Raw genomic sequence first — 17,685 nt, forward strand, 5'->3', positions numbered from 1 at the left:
CCAACCTCTTTTTTCTTGATTCTGACAAGTCAGTACATCACTCTGTTACCATCAATCTCCCTCAACTTGATCAAACCATGAAAGCACCAATTTTATATTCTCCGAAGTATACCTAAATTGTGCCATCTTAGATTTGAAATAGTCATTTTTATTATTAGATTGGTGCCTTAACACATGTTTTTCTTTTGAGCCAGGAAACTCTTCAAATAAAATCCCCCTTGGAAATATTACATACAAGTAAAGAAATACACAAATCACTGCTCTTGTTGGAGTGGGGGTCAGGTCTTGTGGCAGAAATCATTTGTACTTGCTGCGGATCCCAGGTGCTTCCTGAGGTTTCCTGGGATCCTTGGAAGTTAGACAGGGGCCATGTGATTGCATTCTGGCCAGTGGAGACTGCCACCTCCAAGCTGGCCCTAAAATCCTCCATGGACCCTCCATTTCTGCTTTCTTATTGCAGCAACAGCAGTCTTTAATATATAGTGGCGTCATACAATGGTGGCAGATGGGTTTACCAGATGAAAGAGAAGGCTTTTTGGTCTGCACTGGTGTTTGTGGAGCAAGAAATAGCATTTGTGGTGTGAAGCCACTGAGATCATATGTGATCCCCACATAGCCTATTTCTCTTGCTAATATGAGCCTAGAGGTCCTGCCCAGTCACCATCTCCCATATCACAAACTCCAGCCTCTCTCTGCTTTGATTTTTTTCCCCTACTTTCTACACACCTCCTAAGGCAACTCCGGACAACTATTTCTAGGGAAGAGTTTGTAAACCGTTGTGTTAGCCTTCTAAAATACCCTCTCTTCTGGTTTTGGAATATAGAAGACTGTATAAAAAATGAATATTCCAGTTACATGTAAATCCAGTGATATGGTTTGGCTCTGTGTTCCCACCCACATCTCATCTTGAATTGTAGCTCCCATAATTCCCACGTGTTGTGGGAGGGACCTGGTGGGAGATAATTGAATCATGGGGGTGGTTTCCTCCATACTGTTCTCATGGTTGTGGATAAGTCTTTCATTCTCTCTCTTGCCTGCCGCCACGTAAGATGTGCCTTTCGCCTTCCACCATGATTGTGAGGTCTCCCCAGCCATGTGGAACTGTGAGTCAATTCAACCTCTTTTTCTTTATAAATTATCCAGTCTCAGGTATGTCTTTATTTGCAGTGTGAGAACAGACTAATACATCCAGGAAGGACAGAAATTAATTCTGTCATTGGGATGGTGAAGGAATGTGCTGATCGTCCATCACACTTCATGGAGAACACTATTGAATTTATGTTTCACAGATAGAACCTCCACTGCTCAGAAACAGCATGAAAACCATTGTTTTCAGAATTTTAAATTATTATATATAAAATCCAGTCTAATTTTCTGGAAAGAGCAATGTTTGCTAAAGTGATATAATTTGATAGAATTTGAATCTGACTTTTCCAAAGAAAAAATGTTAATCTAGGGACTAAGGGTGTTGACTAAAAGTCCAACTTCTGAAATAAAAATGACTACAGACACTACACTTAATCAGCTAGGAATAGAATATGTGATTAGCATATCAAAATTTATTTTGATAAATTATTTATTTATTTATTTGATAAAATAAAGTCACATTATTCAAATAAATAGGAAGATGTATTAACTAGTCACAGAACATTTTATTTTATAAAAAACATGATCATCACACAGTGTAATAAACCCATCAGCCCATGAAAGGCAATCTCAACAAAGGTCACGAAGTTCAGAAGGACTTCTTTGAGAAAAGATTAACAGCCTTTTTTGGGGGGAAATTTTGGCCACAGACTTTTGACACAGGTCTCCCAAGATTTGATGACTTTTTTGGCTCATCCAACATGAACACTATAATAATTGTAGGTATCTGATATCAAGGGCTTGATCTTCCTGATACATTGAGTATTGGACAATGTTTCTGTCAACTTCTCTGGGGTCTGTGCTTGTTCATGCATGCCTCAAGGATCAGGAGCAAAAAGATGACAGGACTGAATGTATATTCTGTTTTTGCAAATTGAGCTTCTAATTCATTCAGGCCTTAGTGCAGAAGCCACCTTCTCAGGGAGATAGTCCCTGACCATCTTACCTAAAATAGCTGTGCCCCTCTTCCCCCATTGCTTTCCAGGCCTTCCTTCCTTCCTTCTTTCCTTCCATTTTCTCTTTCTCTCTTACTCTCTTCCCTCCTTCCCTCCCTCCCTTCTTCTCTCCCTCCTTCCTTTCTTTCTCTTTCTGTCTTTCCTTTCCTTCCCTCCCTCCTTCTCTCCTTCGTTTCCTCCTTCACTTCTCCCTTTCTCCTTCCTTCCCTCCTTCACTTCTCCCTTTCTCCTTCCTTCCCTCCCTCCCTCCTTCCCTCCCTTCTTCTTTCTTTCCTTCTTTCTTTTTTCTCTTTCTTTCTTCCTTCCTTCTTTCCTTCCTTCTTTTCCTTCCTTCCTTCCTTCCTCCCCGCCTTCCTTTTCTTCTTTCTTTCTTTTTCCTTCTTCTTTCTTTCTTTTTTCTTTCTTCTTTCTTTTCTCTTTCTTTCTTTCTTTCTCCCTCTTTCTCTCTCTTTCTTTCTCTCTCCCTTTTCCTTCCTTCCTTTTTTCCTTCCTTCCTTTGTTCCTTCCCTCCTTCCTTCCGTCCTTCTTTCCTTCTTTCCTTTTTCTTTCTTTCTACAGGACCTTGCTCTGTTGCCCAAGCTGGAATTCAGTGGTGTGATCATAGATCACTGCAGCTTCCAACACCTGGGCTCAAGCGATCCTACCACCTCAGCCCCCACTCCCAATAGCTAGGACTACAGACATGCACCACTATGCCCAAAATTTTTAATTTTTTTTTATAGAAATGGAGTCTCTCTATGCAGCCCAGGCTGGTTTTGAACTCCAGGCCTCAAGCAATCCTCCCACCTCAGCCTCCCAAAGCACTGGGATTACAGGCATGAACCACTGTGCCTGGCCAGGCCTTCCCTTCTCTTAGTCTCTGCATACCGCTTACCTCTAATTGAAATTATGTTGTTTATGGTCTTTTTTTCTCTACTACCACGTAAGCTCAATGAAAGGACAGCTTTTGTTTAACACCACTGTATCTTTGGCAGATAAGCTATTGGCTGGTATATAGTGGGCACTCAGTATTTTCCAGGTTTCCCTTAGAGACTTACACTTGAAATATCATCTGAGACTCTCACTTCTTTCAGTTGTATTCCCCTGTGTGATACTGGAGCCCAACTGGTGTGAAGATAAGGAGTCGAGAGGGGAGGCTTCCTCTAGTCCTGTGGGGGAGGTCTCAGTCTTGAAATGAGCCTGTGCCCCTGGGCTGCGACTTTCACAAGTGCTTCTCATGTCCCCCACCACCACCACGCCGTGGTTAGACAGGAAGGTTAGATGGGGCTGGAGTTGGAGATTTCCTTTCCTCTACATCATTTGGGGTTTAGAAAAACCTCAGTAGGTTAGGCTCTCACAAAGTAGTTTCTCTTTGGGGTTGTCTTTGCTGTGTGTTATTTCACAATGGCTACTTTCCTCACACCCTGCTGGAAGCAGGAGGAGTTTTTTCTGAGATGTTAACTGTGAGAAACTTGAGTGCTCTTAGAGGTAAAATTCCTGAAAGTGCTCCCCATTCCTTCTAAGACCAGGTCCCCAGGAGTTTTTAATTCTCAAACTTGTCCAGACTGAGCCTCCAGCAATTTGTCAATTATACTTAGGCTTTCCTACCCTGGTTCTGGTGCCCAGGGAGGTTTCTGCTTGAATTTCCTCCCTCGTGTGATGGAATTCTCTGTATCCACCTGTCTATCTCTCCAATTTTGAGGGCAGTGTTTTTGCCTTGTGATCTCAGTTCTATGATGGATCTAAGAAGAGTTGCTGGTTTTCAGTTTGTGGAGCTTATTTTCCCAAGAGAGATGACATCCGAGCTCTGAATATGCTGGACTAGAAGTTGAAATTTTTTCAGTGTTTTTTATAAGTAAGTGAATGACTGCTATAACATAGTGCATCTACCAGTTTGTTTGCTCTAGTTGCTCTAGCAACTCTTGTTTGCTCTAGTTTTGACCATCTCAACTTTAATCACAACATAACTGTACAGAAAGAGATTAATTTTCCTATCAGTGAATAGTAATTTCCAAACATGACCTCCAATGATTTTTTTACTGTAAAAGATTTTATTTTTGCACAATACAGAGAAGAGTATATATGTTATATTGTCCATTAGTCAATAACTCCTTAAATTGAAAGCAACATTTTCTTTTTTAAAAAAATTATTTTAGATTCGGGAGGCACACATGCAGGTTTGCTACCTGTGTATATTGAGTAATGGTGAAGTTTGAGCCCAGATCTCACTATTATTAGTGTCTATGGTTTCCATTTTTTATGTCCATGTGTACACATCATTGAGCTTCCACTTATAAGTGAAAACACGCATTATTTGATTTTCTGTTTCTGAGTTATTTCATTTAGGATAATGACCTCCTGCTTCATCCATGTTGTAGCAAAAGACATGATTTTATTCTCTTTTTATGGCTGTATACTATTCCATGGTGTATATATACATTTTCTTTATCTAGTCATCCATTGATGAGCACTTAGGTTGATTTCATGCCTTTGCTATTGTAAATGGTGTTGTAATAAGTATATGAGTGCAGAAGTCTTTTTAATATAATCGTCTCTTTTCCTTTGGGTAGATATACAGTAGTGGGATTGCAGGGTTGAGTGGTAGCTCTATTTTTAGTTCTTTGAGGAATCTCCATGCCATTTTATATAGAGGCTGTACTAGTTTACATTTCTCCTAATTGCAAATTGTGAATGCAATTTCTCTGCATCTACACCAACATCTGTTGTTTTTTGACTTTTTAATTATAGCCATTCTGACTGGTATTAGATAGTATCTCGTGGTTTTAATTTGCATTTCTCTGATGATTAGTGGATGTTGATCAAGTTTTCAATTGTTTGTTGGCTGCTTGCATATCTTCTTTTGAGAAATGTCTGTTGATGGTTTTTTGCCCCCTTTTTAATGGGGTTATTTGTTGTTGTTGAGTGGTTTGAGTGTCTTGTAGATTCTGGATATTAGTGTTTTTTTGCAGAGGCATAATTTGCAAATATTTTCTCCCATTCTACAGGTTTTCTGTTTACTCTGTGGATTATTTATGTGGCTTTGCAGAAGCATTTTTAGTTTAGTTAAGTCCCACTTGAGTATTTTTGGTTTTGTCGCATTGAAAGCAACATTTTCTAGGTGTATTGATTATGGTGTAGGCTAAACTGCAATAGCAGATACTTCTATACATCACTGGTTCAAACATAATAGAAGTGTACTTCTCTCTCACACAGTCTGGAAAGAAGTGGTTAACCAGCTTGGATGGGCAAAAGATTGAGTCAGGACCTGGCTTCCTTCTATGTTATTGCTCCTATGATATTGTTCTCATCCAGATGGTTGAAACTGGCTCAGGTTATCATCCATAATTTAGCCTACCAGAAAGGGATAATAAATGAATCTAGAGAGCAAGCAATTTTCTCTTAAGCACCTGCAGCAGAACTTGCACAGTCACTTCTGCTCACTTTCCACTGGCACAAACCTAGTCCAATGGCCAACGACCTGCAAGGGAGGCTGAGAATGCAGTCTCTAGCTATGTGGGCTAGAGGGAGGGGGACCTGGGGATAAATTAGCTATCTTCCACACTGTGTGACTCTGTGTGTGTGTATAAACTTGCCTAAAAGTTTCAAAATGCATTTTGAAGTCGGACAAACAGTGAAACACAAGTGATATAAATATTATTAACTTTCCATTCTTGGAAAGAATGTTTATATGAAAATCTTAAACTAAATACACAGAACACACTCCAGAAAATGAACCTGGTAATTTTGTCAAACTTTATATAGTAATAAATATGTAATCCTGATGCTGTTTAGTTAGGAAGGACTGTATATAATCCAAATACAAAGAGTATGTGTGTGTGGAGTGAGTGTGTGTGTGTGTGTGTGTGTGTGTAGAGGGATTGTTCATATGAATAGGTCTTAGTATATTGTCTCATCTGAGGAAATCTAGACTCCAGCAGCCAAAAGTAACTTGGTCAATTTTGTGCTGCTAAAGTCGAATAGCACAGACTGGGTAATTTATGGTGAACAGAAATTTATTGGCTCATGGTTTTAGAGCCTGGGAAGTCCAAGATGGAGTGGCATCTGGCAAGGGCTTTTTTGCTGTGTCATACAATGGCAGAAGGCATCATATGGGAGAAAGAGACACGCACAGAAAGAACTAAAGAGCATTAGAACCAGAAGAGGCAAATTCATCCTTTTATAAAAGCCCACTTCTAAGAAAATGCCATTAATCCATCCATTCATGAGGTCAGAGCCCTCATGGCCTAATCACCTCTTAAAGGTCTCAACCCTTTACTGTTACAATGGGAAATAAATTTTGACATGAGTTTGGGAGGGTGCAAACACTCAAACCATAGCAGTAACTTAGAAGGAATTTTAATATTTTATGTGTATTTCTCAGTTTTAAAGGGGATCTGTGTTATAACCCACAAAAATACTTTCGGAAATATCATCTCTCTTCCACAAGCTCCATATTTGTTGCAGACTCTCCCTAAACTTTCCAAATTCTCCCAACATCAATCTAGCATGGCTTTTCTGTCTTCTTCCTCCTGCCTCCACCTCAAAATCTTTCTTATTTATATCAATTTGGAATTAGGCTTCTTTTTATAGTTTCATCTCTGCTTTGCTCATTACCTGGATTCTGCACAATAGAGAACCCAGGGCCGACCCAGAAAGCAAAAATCCTTTCCCTTTTCTTCAGGCATCTCTGGCCCAGTTGCTCTCCCTGCCTCCTAATTTTGCATTACAAAAATACCAAGAACTAGACTGGCAAAGAAAGAATTCCTAAGACTGTGGGGGGAGGGGTAGAATCTGCACAGACAGGAATGAAGGAGGCTATGAATACTTACATATTAAAACGTCTTGTTTTCATCACACATATATCATTAAGAGCTCAAGTGAGGCTAATGTGGGCTGCTATAACTCCAAAACAGATGGGAAATCTCTCAGTTTAAAAATACTCACAAAGCTGGATTTATACAGATGTTCCACCTGAAGGCAGAGCTGGACAAATTAATGCTCACAGTGGACTATGAAACTCTAATCTATAAAGTGAAAAGGGAAGGGAAGGAAACTAAAAGTTATTGAGCACTTACTCAGGTATTGTGCTAAGCTCTTTAAACAATGTCATGTCATTTAAAACCCCCAATAACCTTACAGATCAATGTTCTCAGCTTAGGGATCTACAGACCATATTCTCAGTAGTACATGAGTGGTAAGATTGAAAAATGCTTGTGTTTCATGTCAGAAATAATATGAGCCTGGTTAATGTGAACATATTCTGAATCATCAGAAAGATTACTTTATAATCAACACTTATAATGAGAGTGTCACACAAAGTAGTCCATTGTGCTACTTTAACTGAAGTATGCTCATGAGAAAGGCACAAAGCCAGACTTAATATATAAATGACATGCATATACATTCATTTCATATAATATGAGGTATTTTGGTCAAGACAACCTCATTGTGTATGAAATCAATGATGGCTTTGCAGGAGTTCAAATACAGAATAGTGCTAAGATATTTTAGTTATTATCTGGCACATGTAGTAAAGTCATATCCCAAAGAACATGCATCATATTCATATTTTGAGCTATGATTTGATATAAGACAACAGTGTCACATTAAGTTAATACTGTTTCTTTGAGTTTCATTTTTTTGCTTTGATTTATATCAGTGTGGTAAATTATTCTCCTCCATTTTTTACTCCGTCTCCATTATAGGATTCTACAACCAAGCCCTTTGTCTAGACTTTGCAATACCTCACCTTAGAGAAAACAGAATGTTACAGGAGGCTGGAAAACAAGACAACCTGTACCATTGTTAGCAGTGGTGAATCGGTGCGGATCTTCAGCCACCTCAATTCTTGCCTCCTCAAAAGGGAGAATGCGACTGAGGGGCATAAGGCAGAGGGAGAGACCAAGACAGGTTTTAGAGCAGAAGTGAAAGTTTATTAAAAAGCTTTAGAATAGGAACAAAAGGAAGAAAAGTATACTTGGAAGAGGGCCAAGCAGGTGACGAGAGTTCAAGGACATGTTTGGACCTTTGACTTGGGATCTTATACATTGGCATACTTCTGGGGTCTTGCATCCCTTCTTTCCTGATTCTTCCTTTGGGGTGGGATGTCTACATGCACAGTGGCCTGCCAACACTTGGGAGGTGAGCGTGCAGTGTGTTTACTGGAGTTGTATGCATGCTCACTTGAGGCGTTCTTTCCTTACCAGCCAAGGGTTCCTAGAAGAAGGTCATTTACCTGGTAAACTCTGCCATTTTGCCTCTTAGTGTGCATGCTTGAGCCCGCTCACCCGACTCCCGAGATCTTATCAGGAAGCTGCTGATCATATTTCAGGTGTTTCTATCTATTGGGAGACTGCCTTTTCCTGGCACCATCTGCAGCCAATCATTCTTTTAGAGAGATGGTTAACAATGGCCTGACCATCACCTGATGGTCACTTGAGATTCCTGGTGGGGGGCCCTCTCCTGCCCTACATATGTCTGCCTGACGACCTACTGTAACACCATGGGGCAGTGAAATATTTGGGCAAAACTATCATTTTTGATGACCGAGAAGGCAAAAGGTGTTATCTAATGAACTTGTGGCACTGGCAAGGAGATTCTGAATCAGAATGTTGATAACGTGAACAGGCTGCAATTCTCAGCATTTGAAAAAGTGCCACAAGAGATAAGCTCAGAAAAGAATTGGCCAGTTTTCAAGCAAAATTGATAGGGAATGTAGCAAGCCTAGAAATTCCAGAAGCTGTCGAGTTGATGAATAAAGCTGTTTCTCATTTTCAATCAGTAAAATATAAAATTGAAAAATATCTTGCATTTGAAAGACTTATGAAAATAGCCTCAGAAAAATGACACAATCCAGGCGCAAACTCGTCACAACAAAACTAACAGTAGGTACTTTTCCCTGGACATAACAACTTTTAAGTGGACCAGTAAGTGGGATCACTGATGCCTGATGCACGCAAAGTACTTGTAATTAAAGTTTAGAGAGAAAGAGATGTGCCTCACAAAGAATTACAAGTGTGGTTTTTGGTACATGGAAATGTCTGAAATTAACTGCATCAAAACCTAACAGGTTTTTGAGAGAGCTGTATTTGCAAAAATGTTGCTAGATTAAGAGACTGACTTTGAGATGAAAAAAAGAGCTCTAGGCTCCCAGCTTTCTATAGGTAGGAAGTGGGTGAGAGAGCTGCTCTCACGTCCTCCAATACAGTTGGCCCTCTGTATCCACGGGTTCCGCATGGGTGGATTCAACCAATTATGGATCAAAATTATTTGAAAAAGAAAACAATAAAAATAATGCAGCAATAAAAAAATGAATAAAAAACCACAGTATTGTTTCCATAGCATCTACTATGTATGAGGTATTATACATAGTAACATCTATTACACAGCATTTACATTGTATTAGGTATTATACGTAACCTATGAGATGATTTAAAGTATGTAAGAGGATGTGTGCAGGTTATATGCAAATCCTAGGGCATTTCTATCAGGGACTTGAGCATCCACAGATTTTGGCATCCAAAGAGAGGGGGTCCTGGAACCAATCCCCTATGGATACCGAGGGATGATTGTACTCTTTTCAGATGTGGCCAGGAAAAATAATGGAAAAGGAAGGCTGTGCCAGAGACAGAGCTAGGACATGGAGAACAGTGGATTGGGGCATTGCTCCAAAGAACAATCCCTGCCCCAGTGGGGAAACTGGTCAATACTCTCATAGCAGGATTTCAGAATTCCTATGGCCCAGTAATCACTATCTATCTTCTCAGTCTTCCCCTTTTAAAAGAAGGGCATTTGCTGCTATTCCTCAACCCTGTTTCACCCTTGTATGTTGGGAATATAGGCTGACAGATACCTTGTCTTTTTAGTTTATGAATATCTCAATCAAGAAGAGCCACATCTCAGTGACGAGCACAAGATTCTGAACTTTGAGCCCCATGCCATGACTGGTTAAGGCTTGTGGTGTGTCTTGAGGGGCAGGGGAAGTACATCACATATAGGAGCAAAGTGAATAATTATAATCTTTTTTTTTTTTTTGAGGCAGAGTCACCCAGGCTGGAGTGCAGTGACCCGGTCTCGGCTCACTGCAACCTCCACCTCCCAGGTTCAACCGATTCTCCTGCCTCAGCCTCTTGAGCAGCTGGGATTACAGGCATACACTACCATGCCTGGCTAATTTTTGTATTTTTAGTAGAAACGGGGTTTTGCCATGTTGGCCAGTCTGGTCTCAAACTCCTGTCCTCGGGTGATCCACCTCCGCTTGGCCTCCCAAAGTGCTGGGATTACAGGCGTGAGCCACCATGCCCGGCCATGAATAATGATAATCTAAGAAAAATTGTGGATTGAACTATTGCTGCCAGTCCTTCCCTTTCTCCCTGTTACGGATTTATACCTCCATGATCTTTGCCATGGGTCTTTGCAGTACCTCTCCCAGGGTAAGCAGAGTATACTTCCCTGACCCATTAAGGCTGGACTTGGCTGGAATATCAGCAAATATGACACAGGAAGAGACTCTAAATGTGTATTCATAATTTGACGTGGCCTCTGCGGTCTTGGGATACATCATTAAAAACAAAACAAAACAACCATACCTCACGTAGCCTCTGATCCTGCAATGAAGACAGAGGAAGCAGAATTGAATCTACTTGCAACCTGGTGCTAATCCTCACCTGGCCCAGCTGAGATCAGCCAAACCCCACTGTGAATAGAAAACACAAATATTTGTATTTGTAATTTACCAAGATTTATGGGGTTGTCAGTTATGTAGCATTATTTCCATAGTAGCCAACTAATATAATTGGTATAAGAAGTTAAAATAAGCATAAAGAACTTATACCTAGATTTATGTTTATGCATAGCTCAGCAACATTAAATCAGAAAACACTTTGAATCAACACTCTAGGCATCTTTTTTTCCTTAAAGTTTCCATATATGAATAAAGTTTTAGAAATTCTGCTTTAAATAGTCCTGGTTAACCCCATTTTAGGAATGAGTAAACTGAGGCAACTCTGAGAGGTTGGTGGCTTCTTTAAGCCATCGGATCTCACTTGACTTGCCTGACTTCAACATGCAGATTTTTCTACTATATGCCTGGCTGTCTTTGAAAAAAAATTAATTTTCAAAGTAGCATCTCTTTTGCCTAGGTGATTATTAAATTAAAATTCTATATAAGCATGTAGAGATCAAAAGAGAAAAAAATTTAAAAAATAAAAAAAAGGAAAGATAGAAAGAAGATAAACTGCCAAATTCCGATGATGAAACCTGGCAGAGTAACTATAAGCAAAACTGTGAGTGTCCAAATCCAGTCAGATATTTTCCCCATCAAAGGATTGACATGCAAAGCTCATGTGTCTGTGCTATTAGCAGGAAACTGCTTTCAAAATACTTCAAAAACTTGTGACTGTCCACCAATAAGATTGATACTAACATCAAAGTATGCAGGACTTGAAGATCCCGCAGAATTAGACCTGGAATGAAAGGGCTTCTGGGAATAAAAGTGCAGATTACAAAACAAGTGGATTCTTTTAATGCTCAAGGGAACTTTTTCTTGTTTAAGTTTTCCTCATTGGAGCATAATTTGAGTAGTTTCAGATGTTAATCACATCACGGAGAGGAGGGAAAAACCCTCCGGAGTATTATTTTTTCATGTGGCTCAGTGTTAACAGGCCCTTTAAACCTGGAAGAAACTCGTAAGCTCCCTGGGATAGTTTTCACACACCGTCTATAAGGCCTGCCATTCGGAACCCCGTCATCCATCCGGGCAGGATGAGGGTTTTCCATTGCTTAAATCGTTGCCTCCTTTTGGTGATCAGAGACCTTAAATGTTGCAGAGCTTCGACCCTTTCTTGTCTGTCTAGATGGATCTGTCGTGACTACACAGTTTGCTTTCACAGAGGCCAGTAGGTAACCAGAATGTGTCTTTTATGAGCACGACTTCCTCAAGGAATGTTGCAGGAGAAGTATAGTGATAAAAAGAAGAGAAGGAAAAACTAGTAAGAAAAAGAAGTTAAATCCTCTCCCTTGGCACCGATACCAAATTTCCTTGCTTTGAAAAACTCCAGCTCGATTTCTGAAATATCTCAAAAGATGCCCACTTGTTAAATTGACTGACCCATTTTGTGGGTAAAAGTACTCCCCTCTTTTGTAGGACACACTTAAACACATTGCTCTGGAAGAAGTTTTGAGTCAGAAAAGGACAGTTACCCCACAGACATGGGTCTATTTAAAGAATAAAAGCAAGATGGTTCAGGCCACTGGGATGGCCCTTGTAGACTCAGTCTCAGTCGCCTGGGAGGGTCACTGTAGTTTTTGAGGTTCTCGCAATAGAGAGAGCCTGTGTCCAGGCTTCTCGGTCATTGATGGCCTTGGGTGCGGGGGCGTGCAAAGAGAGCAGCTATTTAGCAAGAGCATGTTTTGTTCTGGAACATTATGAGGAAAACAGCACTTAAAACCAATCAAATTAGCATCAATAAAAGTCACAGATTTTTCATCAAAATTGAGATGCATATGGATATTATTGCTATTGATTAACTGGTTACTCTTTTTACAACCATAGGTGAGGCCAATTCATTTTTGTCTTTTCCTAGTTTTACATTCCTCCTACTCCTTTTCTGGGAGTACTAATCTGATCCTCCACATCATGGGATAGAGACAGAGAAAAGGGAAATAGCCACAATTTTTGGAAGGAGTTGGGGTATCAGTCTTGGTGAAGTTCTTGCAGTAGACTTTCTTTAAAAGCCATGTTTAGTGTCTAAGATGTCTGAAACAAACTGACATGAACAGAATGGATATAAACACTTATTTTGCCAATGTTGTGAAATATCTGAGTTTATTAATTAAATAAAATGTCAAAATACTCTCAAAAGCTTCAAAGCACGTCTCACATCTTTTGCATTGAATTTGACATTTTGTTTTCTCTAAACTTAGATGTGAAGTGATTATAATAACTTATGTATATCTGACAAAATGTGACCTATTACTGATACATCCATCTGAAATTAACATGAAAATTAGATATAGGTATGTCTTATGTAGACCACTGCACATATCCTTATTGTTAGTCATTCATTTTGGGTAGATATATTAGAATCTTTCTATTTTAAAATCAGGAAAATTGTTCTTTATCCATCATTTTAACAAATTTATTTTATTATAAAGTAAAACTTTCTCTCTCAGAAATTTCAAACTACACAGAGGTAAATACAAAACCACCCAGTGTATGGGATTTTATGATGGCGGCATGAGGAGACAAATACAAGAGTTTTCTTTTTGAATCCCTGAGAATGCCTTCACCTGCAAGCTACAGAAAGCCCAGTTAAAAGGAGCTTAAACATTAAAGGCATTTTTAAAAACCTTTCTTGAGAATGTCAGAGTTTCACGGAATTCCAGAGCGAGGTAACTCAGTGCCTCGCAGATTCATCAAGGGCTTAGATGTCTTCATCTTTTCGCTCTCCAGTTCCATTTAGCTATTTCTGCCATTTGTCATGATTTTGAAATTGCTGTCACAGTTGCCAGTGTCTCGTTCAGACAACAGCTTTTTGAGGCAGAAATGAGAATATTCGTGACTTTTTCGAAGTGAGGAAATCTTTCCAACCCTCAGAAGCATATTTACACTAATGTTTCACTATCCAAAATTGTCTAAGCAATGAGATTGCCATAATTAACATGCTTCAGTGAGGATTTTCCCTTGGGTAGATAGGAAGAGTAAATTCAAGAGATCTATTATACAACATTACACCCTGTTTTCCAGACTGGAGTGCAGATGTGCAATCTTGGCTCACTGCAACCTCTGCCTTCCGGGTTCAAGCCATTCTTGTGCCTCAGCCTCCCGAGTAGCTGGGAATACAGGCGCATGACACCACACTCAGCTAATTTTTTTATTATTAGTAGAGATGGGGTTTCACCATGTTGGCCAGACTGGTCTTGAACTACTGCCTCAAGTGATCCACCCAGCTTGGCCTCCCAAAGTACTGGGACCAAAGTGCTGGTGACTATAGTTAATAACTATGTATTGTATTCTGGAAAATTGCTAAGAGAGTAGATTTTAAGTGCTCTCACCACAAAAAAGATAAGTATATGAGGTAACACATATGCTAATTAGCTCAATTTAACTGTTCCATAATGAATACATATTTTAAAACAACATGTTGGTCGGGTGCAGTGGCTCACACCTATAATCCCAGCACTTTGGGAGGCCAAGCTGGGTGGATCACTTGAGGCAGTAGTTCAAGACCAGTCTGGCCAACATGGGGAAACCCCATCTTTACTAATAATTTAAAAAATTAGCCAAGTGTGGTGGCATATGCCTGTATTCCCAGCTACTCAGGAGGCTGAGGCACAAGAATGGCTTGAACCTGGAAGGCAGAGGTTGCAGTGAGCAAAGATTGCACCACTGCACTTCAGTCTGGAAAACAGAGTGTAACTGTGTCCCCCAAAAATAAAATTAAAATAAAATAAAATAAAATGAAATAAAATAAAATAAAATAAAATACATGCTGTACCCAATACATCTGTACAATTTTTACTTGTCAACTTAAATAAATAATAGATTTATCCTCAGGGCTGAGAAGTCTAGCCTTTCCCAGAAGACTGTTTTAGTTATCTATTGTGACACAACAAATTACTCAGATATCTCCAAATTTAGTAGCTTAGAACGACAAACTTTTATTACTTCACTCAGTTTGTGACAGTTGGAATCTGGGAATTGATTATTTGCATAGTTGTTGTTCCGGATCTTTGATGAGGTTGCAGTAAAGGTGTCAGATGGGGTGGCTGTCATCTGAAGGCTTGACTGGGGCTGGAGGATCTGTTTCCAAAATGGTTCACCAACATGGCTGTTGGCCAGGGACCTCAGTTCCTTGCTGGCTGTTGGCTAAGGGGCTCAGTTCTTTGCTGCCTGTTGGTTGAGGGCCACAGTTCTTTGCTGCCTGTTGGCTGGGGGCCACAGTTCTTTGCTGCCTATTGGTTGGGTGTCTTAGTTCTTTGCTGCCTATTGGTTGGGGGCCACAGTTTCTTGCTACTTATTGGCTGGGGGATTCAGCTCTTTGCTGACCATTGGCTGGGGTCTTCAGTTCTTTGCTGTTGGCTGGGGTCTTCAATTCTTTGCTGGCTATTGGCTGGGGGCCTCAGTTCCTTGCTGTCTATTGGCTGGGGGCCTCAGTTCTTTGCTGCCTATTGGTTGGGTGCCTAAGTTCCTTGATAACTGTTGGCTGGGGTCTTCAGTTCTTTGCTACTTGTTGGGGGCCTCAGTTCCTTGCTGCCTATTGGCTGGGGGCCTCAGTTCTTTGCTGGCTGTTGGCTGGGGGCCTCAGTTCCTTGCTGCATATTGGCCGGGGGCCTCAGTTCTTTGCTGCCTGTTGGTTGGGAGGCCTCAGTTCTTTGCTGCCTGTTGGTTGGGGGGCCTCAGTTCTTTGCTGGCCGTTGGCTGGGGTCCTCAGTTCTTTGCTGACTATTGGTTGGGGGCCTCAGTTCCTTTCTGTCTATTGGCTGGGGCCTCAGTTCTTTGCTGGCTTTTGGCTGGGGGCCACAGTTCCTTGAGGACTGTTGGCTGGGGTCTTCAGTTCCTTGCCATGTGAGCCTCTCCAAAGGGCTGCTCATGACATAGCAACTAACTTCCCCTAAAGAAAGCACTACACAAGAGATCCAGGAGGGGGCTGCACTGCCCTTCATGACTGTCACTTCCACTTGATTCATCAGAATTGAGTCACTAGTTAGGCTCTGCTTCTTGAGAGCTTGTCTGGAGATTCTAGCAGGGGAGTGCAGCTACTCATACACCCTTGACCAAAGAAGGGACCTCCTCTATCAGGGAAGGTCGTCCTCTTTGACCAAGCATGCAATCCATCTCTTGAACAGAGGAGTGGTAAGGAATTTGTGGACATATTTCAGAACCACCACAATTGCCATCAGAGGACAGTGAATAAAGGTGAGGTTCTTTTAGGAAGAAGTGAAGCTGACTGATGAGGAGACACTCATTGTTTTTTCTACCTTCCATTCCTAATTTTCTAGGTTTGTTTATTATTAATTATGCACATTTGAATTTTCCCAAAAATTTTCTCAGTGATAGAAATGTGTTTTTCTACTTTAATATTTTAAGGTGTTTGACCACATAATTAGGTTTTTTTTCTAACATTGAAACACTTTATTATTAATGGGACATACTCTTTAATGTCATTCTGTATGAGTATTTTATACATTGCTGATTTGATTTTGCATCTATGTTCCAGGGTGGAACTAGTTTCTTCTTTAGTCTTCTATTGTACTTGTCCAGTTTTGGTTTCAAGGCTATATTAGCCTTGCAAGATATTTTGGGTAGCTTTTCGTCTTTTTCGGGCTATGCCTAACTGTCTCTCTTGCTCTATGTTTTTGTTATTTTTGCTCAGCTTTTTTTGGCTAGTGGGTATCTTTTTATCTGAAAAATTTGTCTTTCTTAAGTATGGAATTTTCTTCCACTACTTTTTTTCCCCCAATAACCATTTTTAGCCTTTGGCTCCACAAGGAACTCACAGTTTTCATCCCTCTGCTTTATTTAGAGAACTGTTTTTTAGGCTTTATCCTGGTGAAAAATGCCACCATTTCTGTATGATACTAGCCTAGTTCTTCTGCAACATTTTAATCAGGTATCCGTTCAATAGTGTGTGGCTCATGTTGGATCCATGGCCCTGCTGACTCTAGCCTACAGTTCTTGATGGGAAGATGGTAACTTGCTTCTCTGGTAGTCCTCTGCTATATGTGATTGGAGTTAGGAAGGCTGGGCTCTGGTTTCCCCATAAATCCAGTCGTGTTTGCTTTGTGTCCTACAGAAATTCTTCACAGTATTTGGCTTGTTGATGCTATTCTTTGTTGGTTTGCAGCACTGTTATGTATTCATTCCTTCTACTGTTTATCTGTTTTGGAATTTCAATGAGATTTGGGGAGAAAGGGTAATAAATCCACACGTAGTTTTATTCAGTCTGCCATTTAGACTGAAAATTGCTTGCTGCTACACACTGACCACATAAAACTTGACCTATGCACAAGCATGTCCCACAACAGTGGCACTTAGAAACCATTATTTTTAAAAATATATGTTTTATTATGGTTTTCACTACAAAAGTAATACATGCATTTTATAGAAAACTTGTAAAATGTACAAACATAAAAAGAAGGAAAAAAAGATGCATTGACTAATCACCTCAATACAATTTATTTTATTTTATTTTATTTTATTTTATTTTATTTTATTTTATTTTATAGATGAGGTCTTGTTATGTCACCCAGGCTGATCCCGAACTCCTGGGCTCAAGGAATGCCCCAACCTCAGCTTCCTGAGTAGCTGGGATTACAGATGAACTCCACTACACATGGCTAAAACAATTTTATCAGGCTCAGGAATTTTCTTATAATTCTATTAAATATATATCTGTAACCCTATAGTATATATGCCTGCATATCTCTCCAGTTAGCACTACACTAGGAGCCTTTTTTAGTGTTGTTGCATATTTTTCATGTACTGTCATTTTTGAAATCACAATTTCCATGGTTCTAAAATATTGGTATTTTTCCTGATTATGTCCTTTGCATGTTCTGTATAGCACATAGTCCTATTTTATACAGAGTTTTCTTCTGTATT

General features: G+C 40.0%; 1 pseudogene; it reads right to left on the reverse strand.

The window, feature by feature from the left end:
* On the reverse strand, positions 15,730-15,937 carry RN7SKP132 (RN7SK pseudogene 132; annotated as a pseudogene).

This window comes from Homo sapiens, chromosome 10, assembly GCF_000001405.40.
Source record: "Homo sapiens chromosome 10, GRCh38.p14 Primary Assembly".
NCBI lineage: Eukaryota > Metazoa > Chordata > Mammalia > Primates > Hominidae > Homo > Homo sapiens.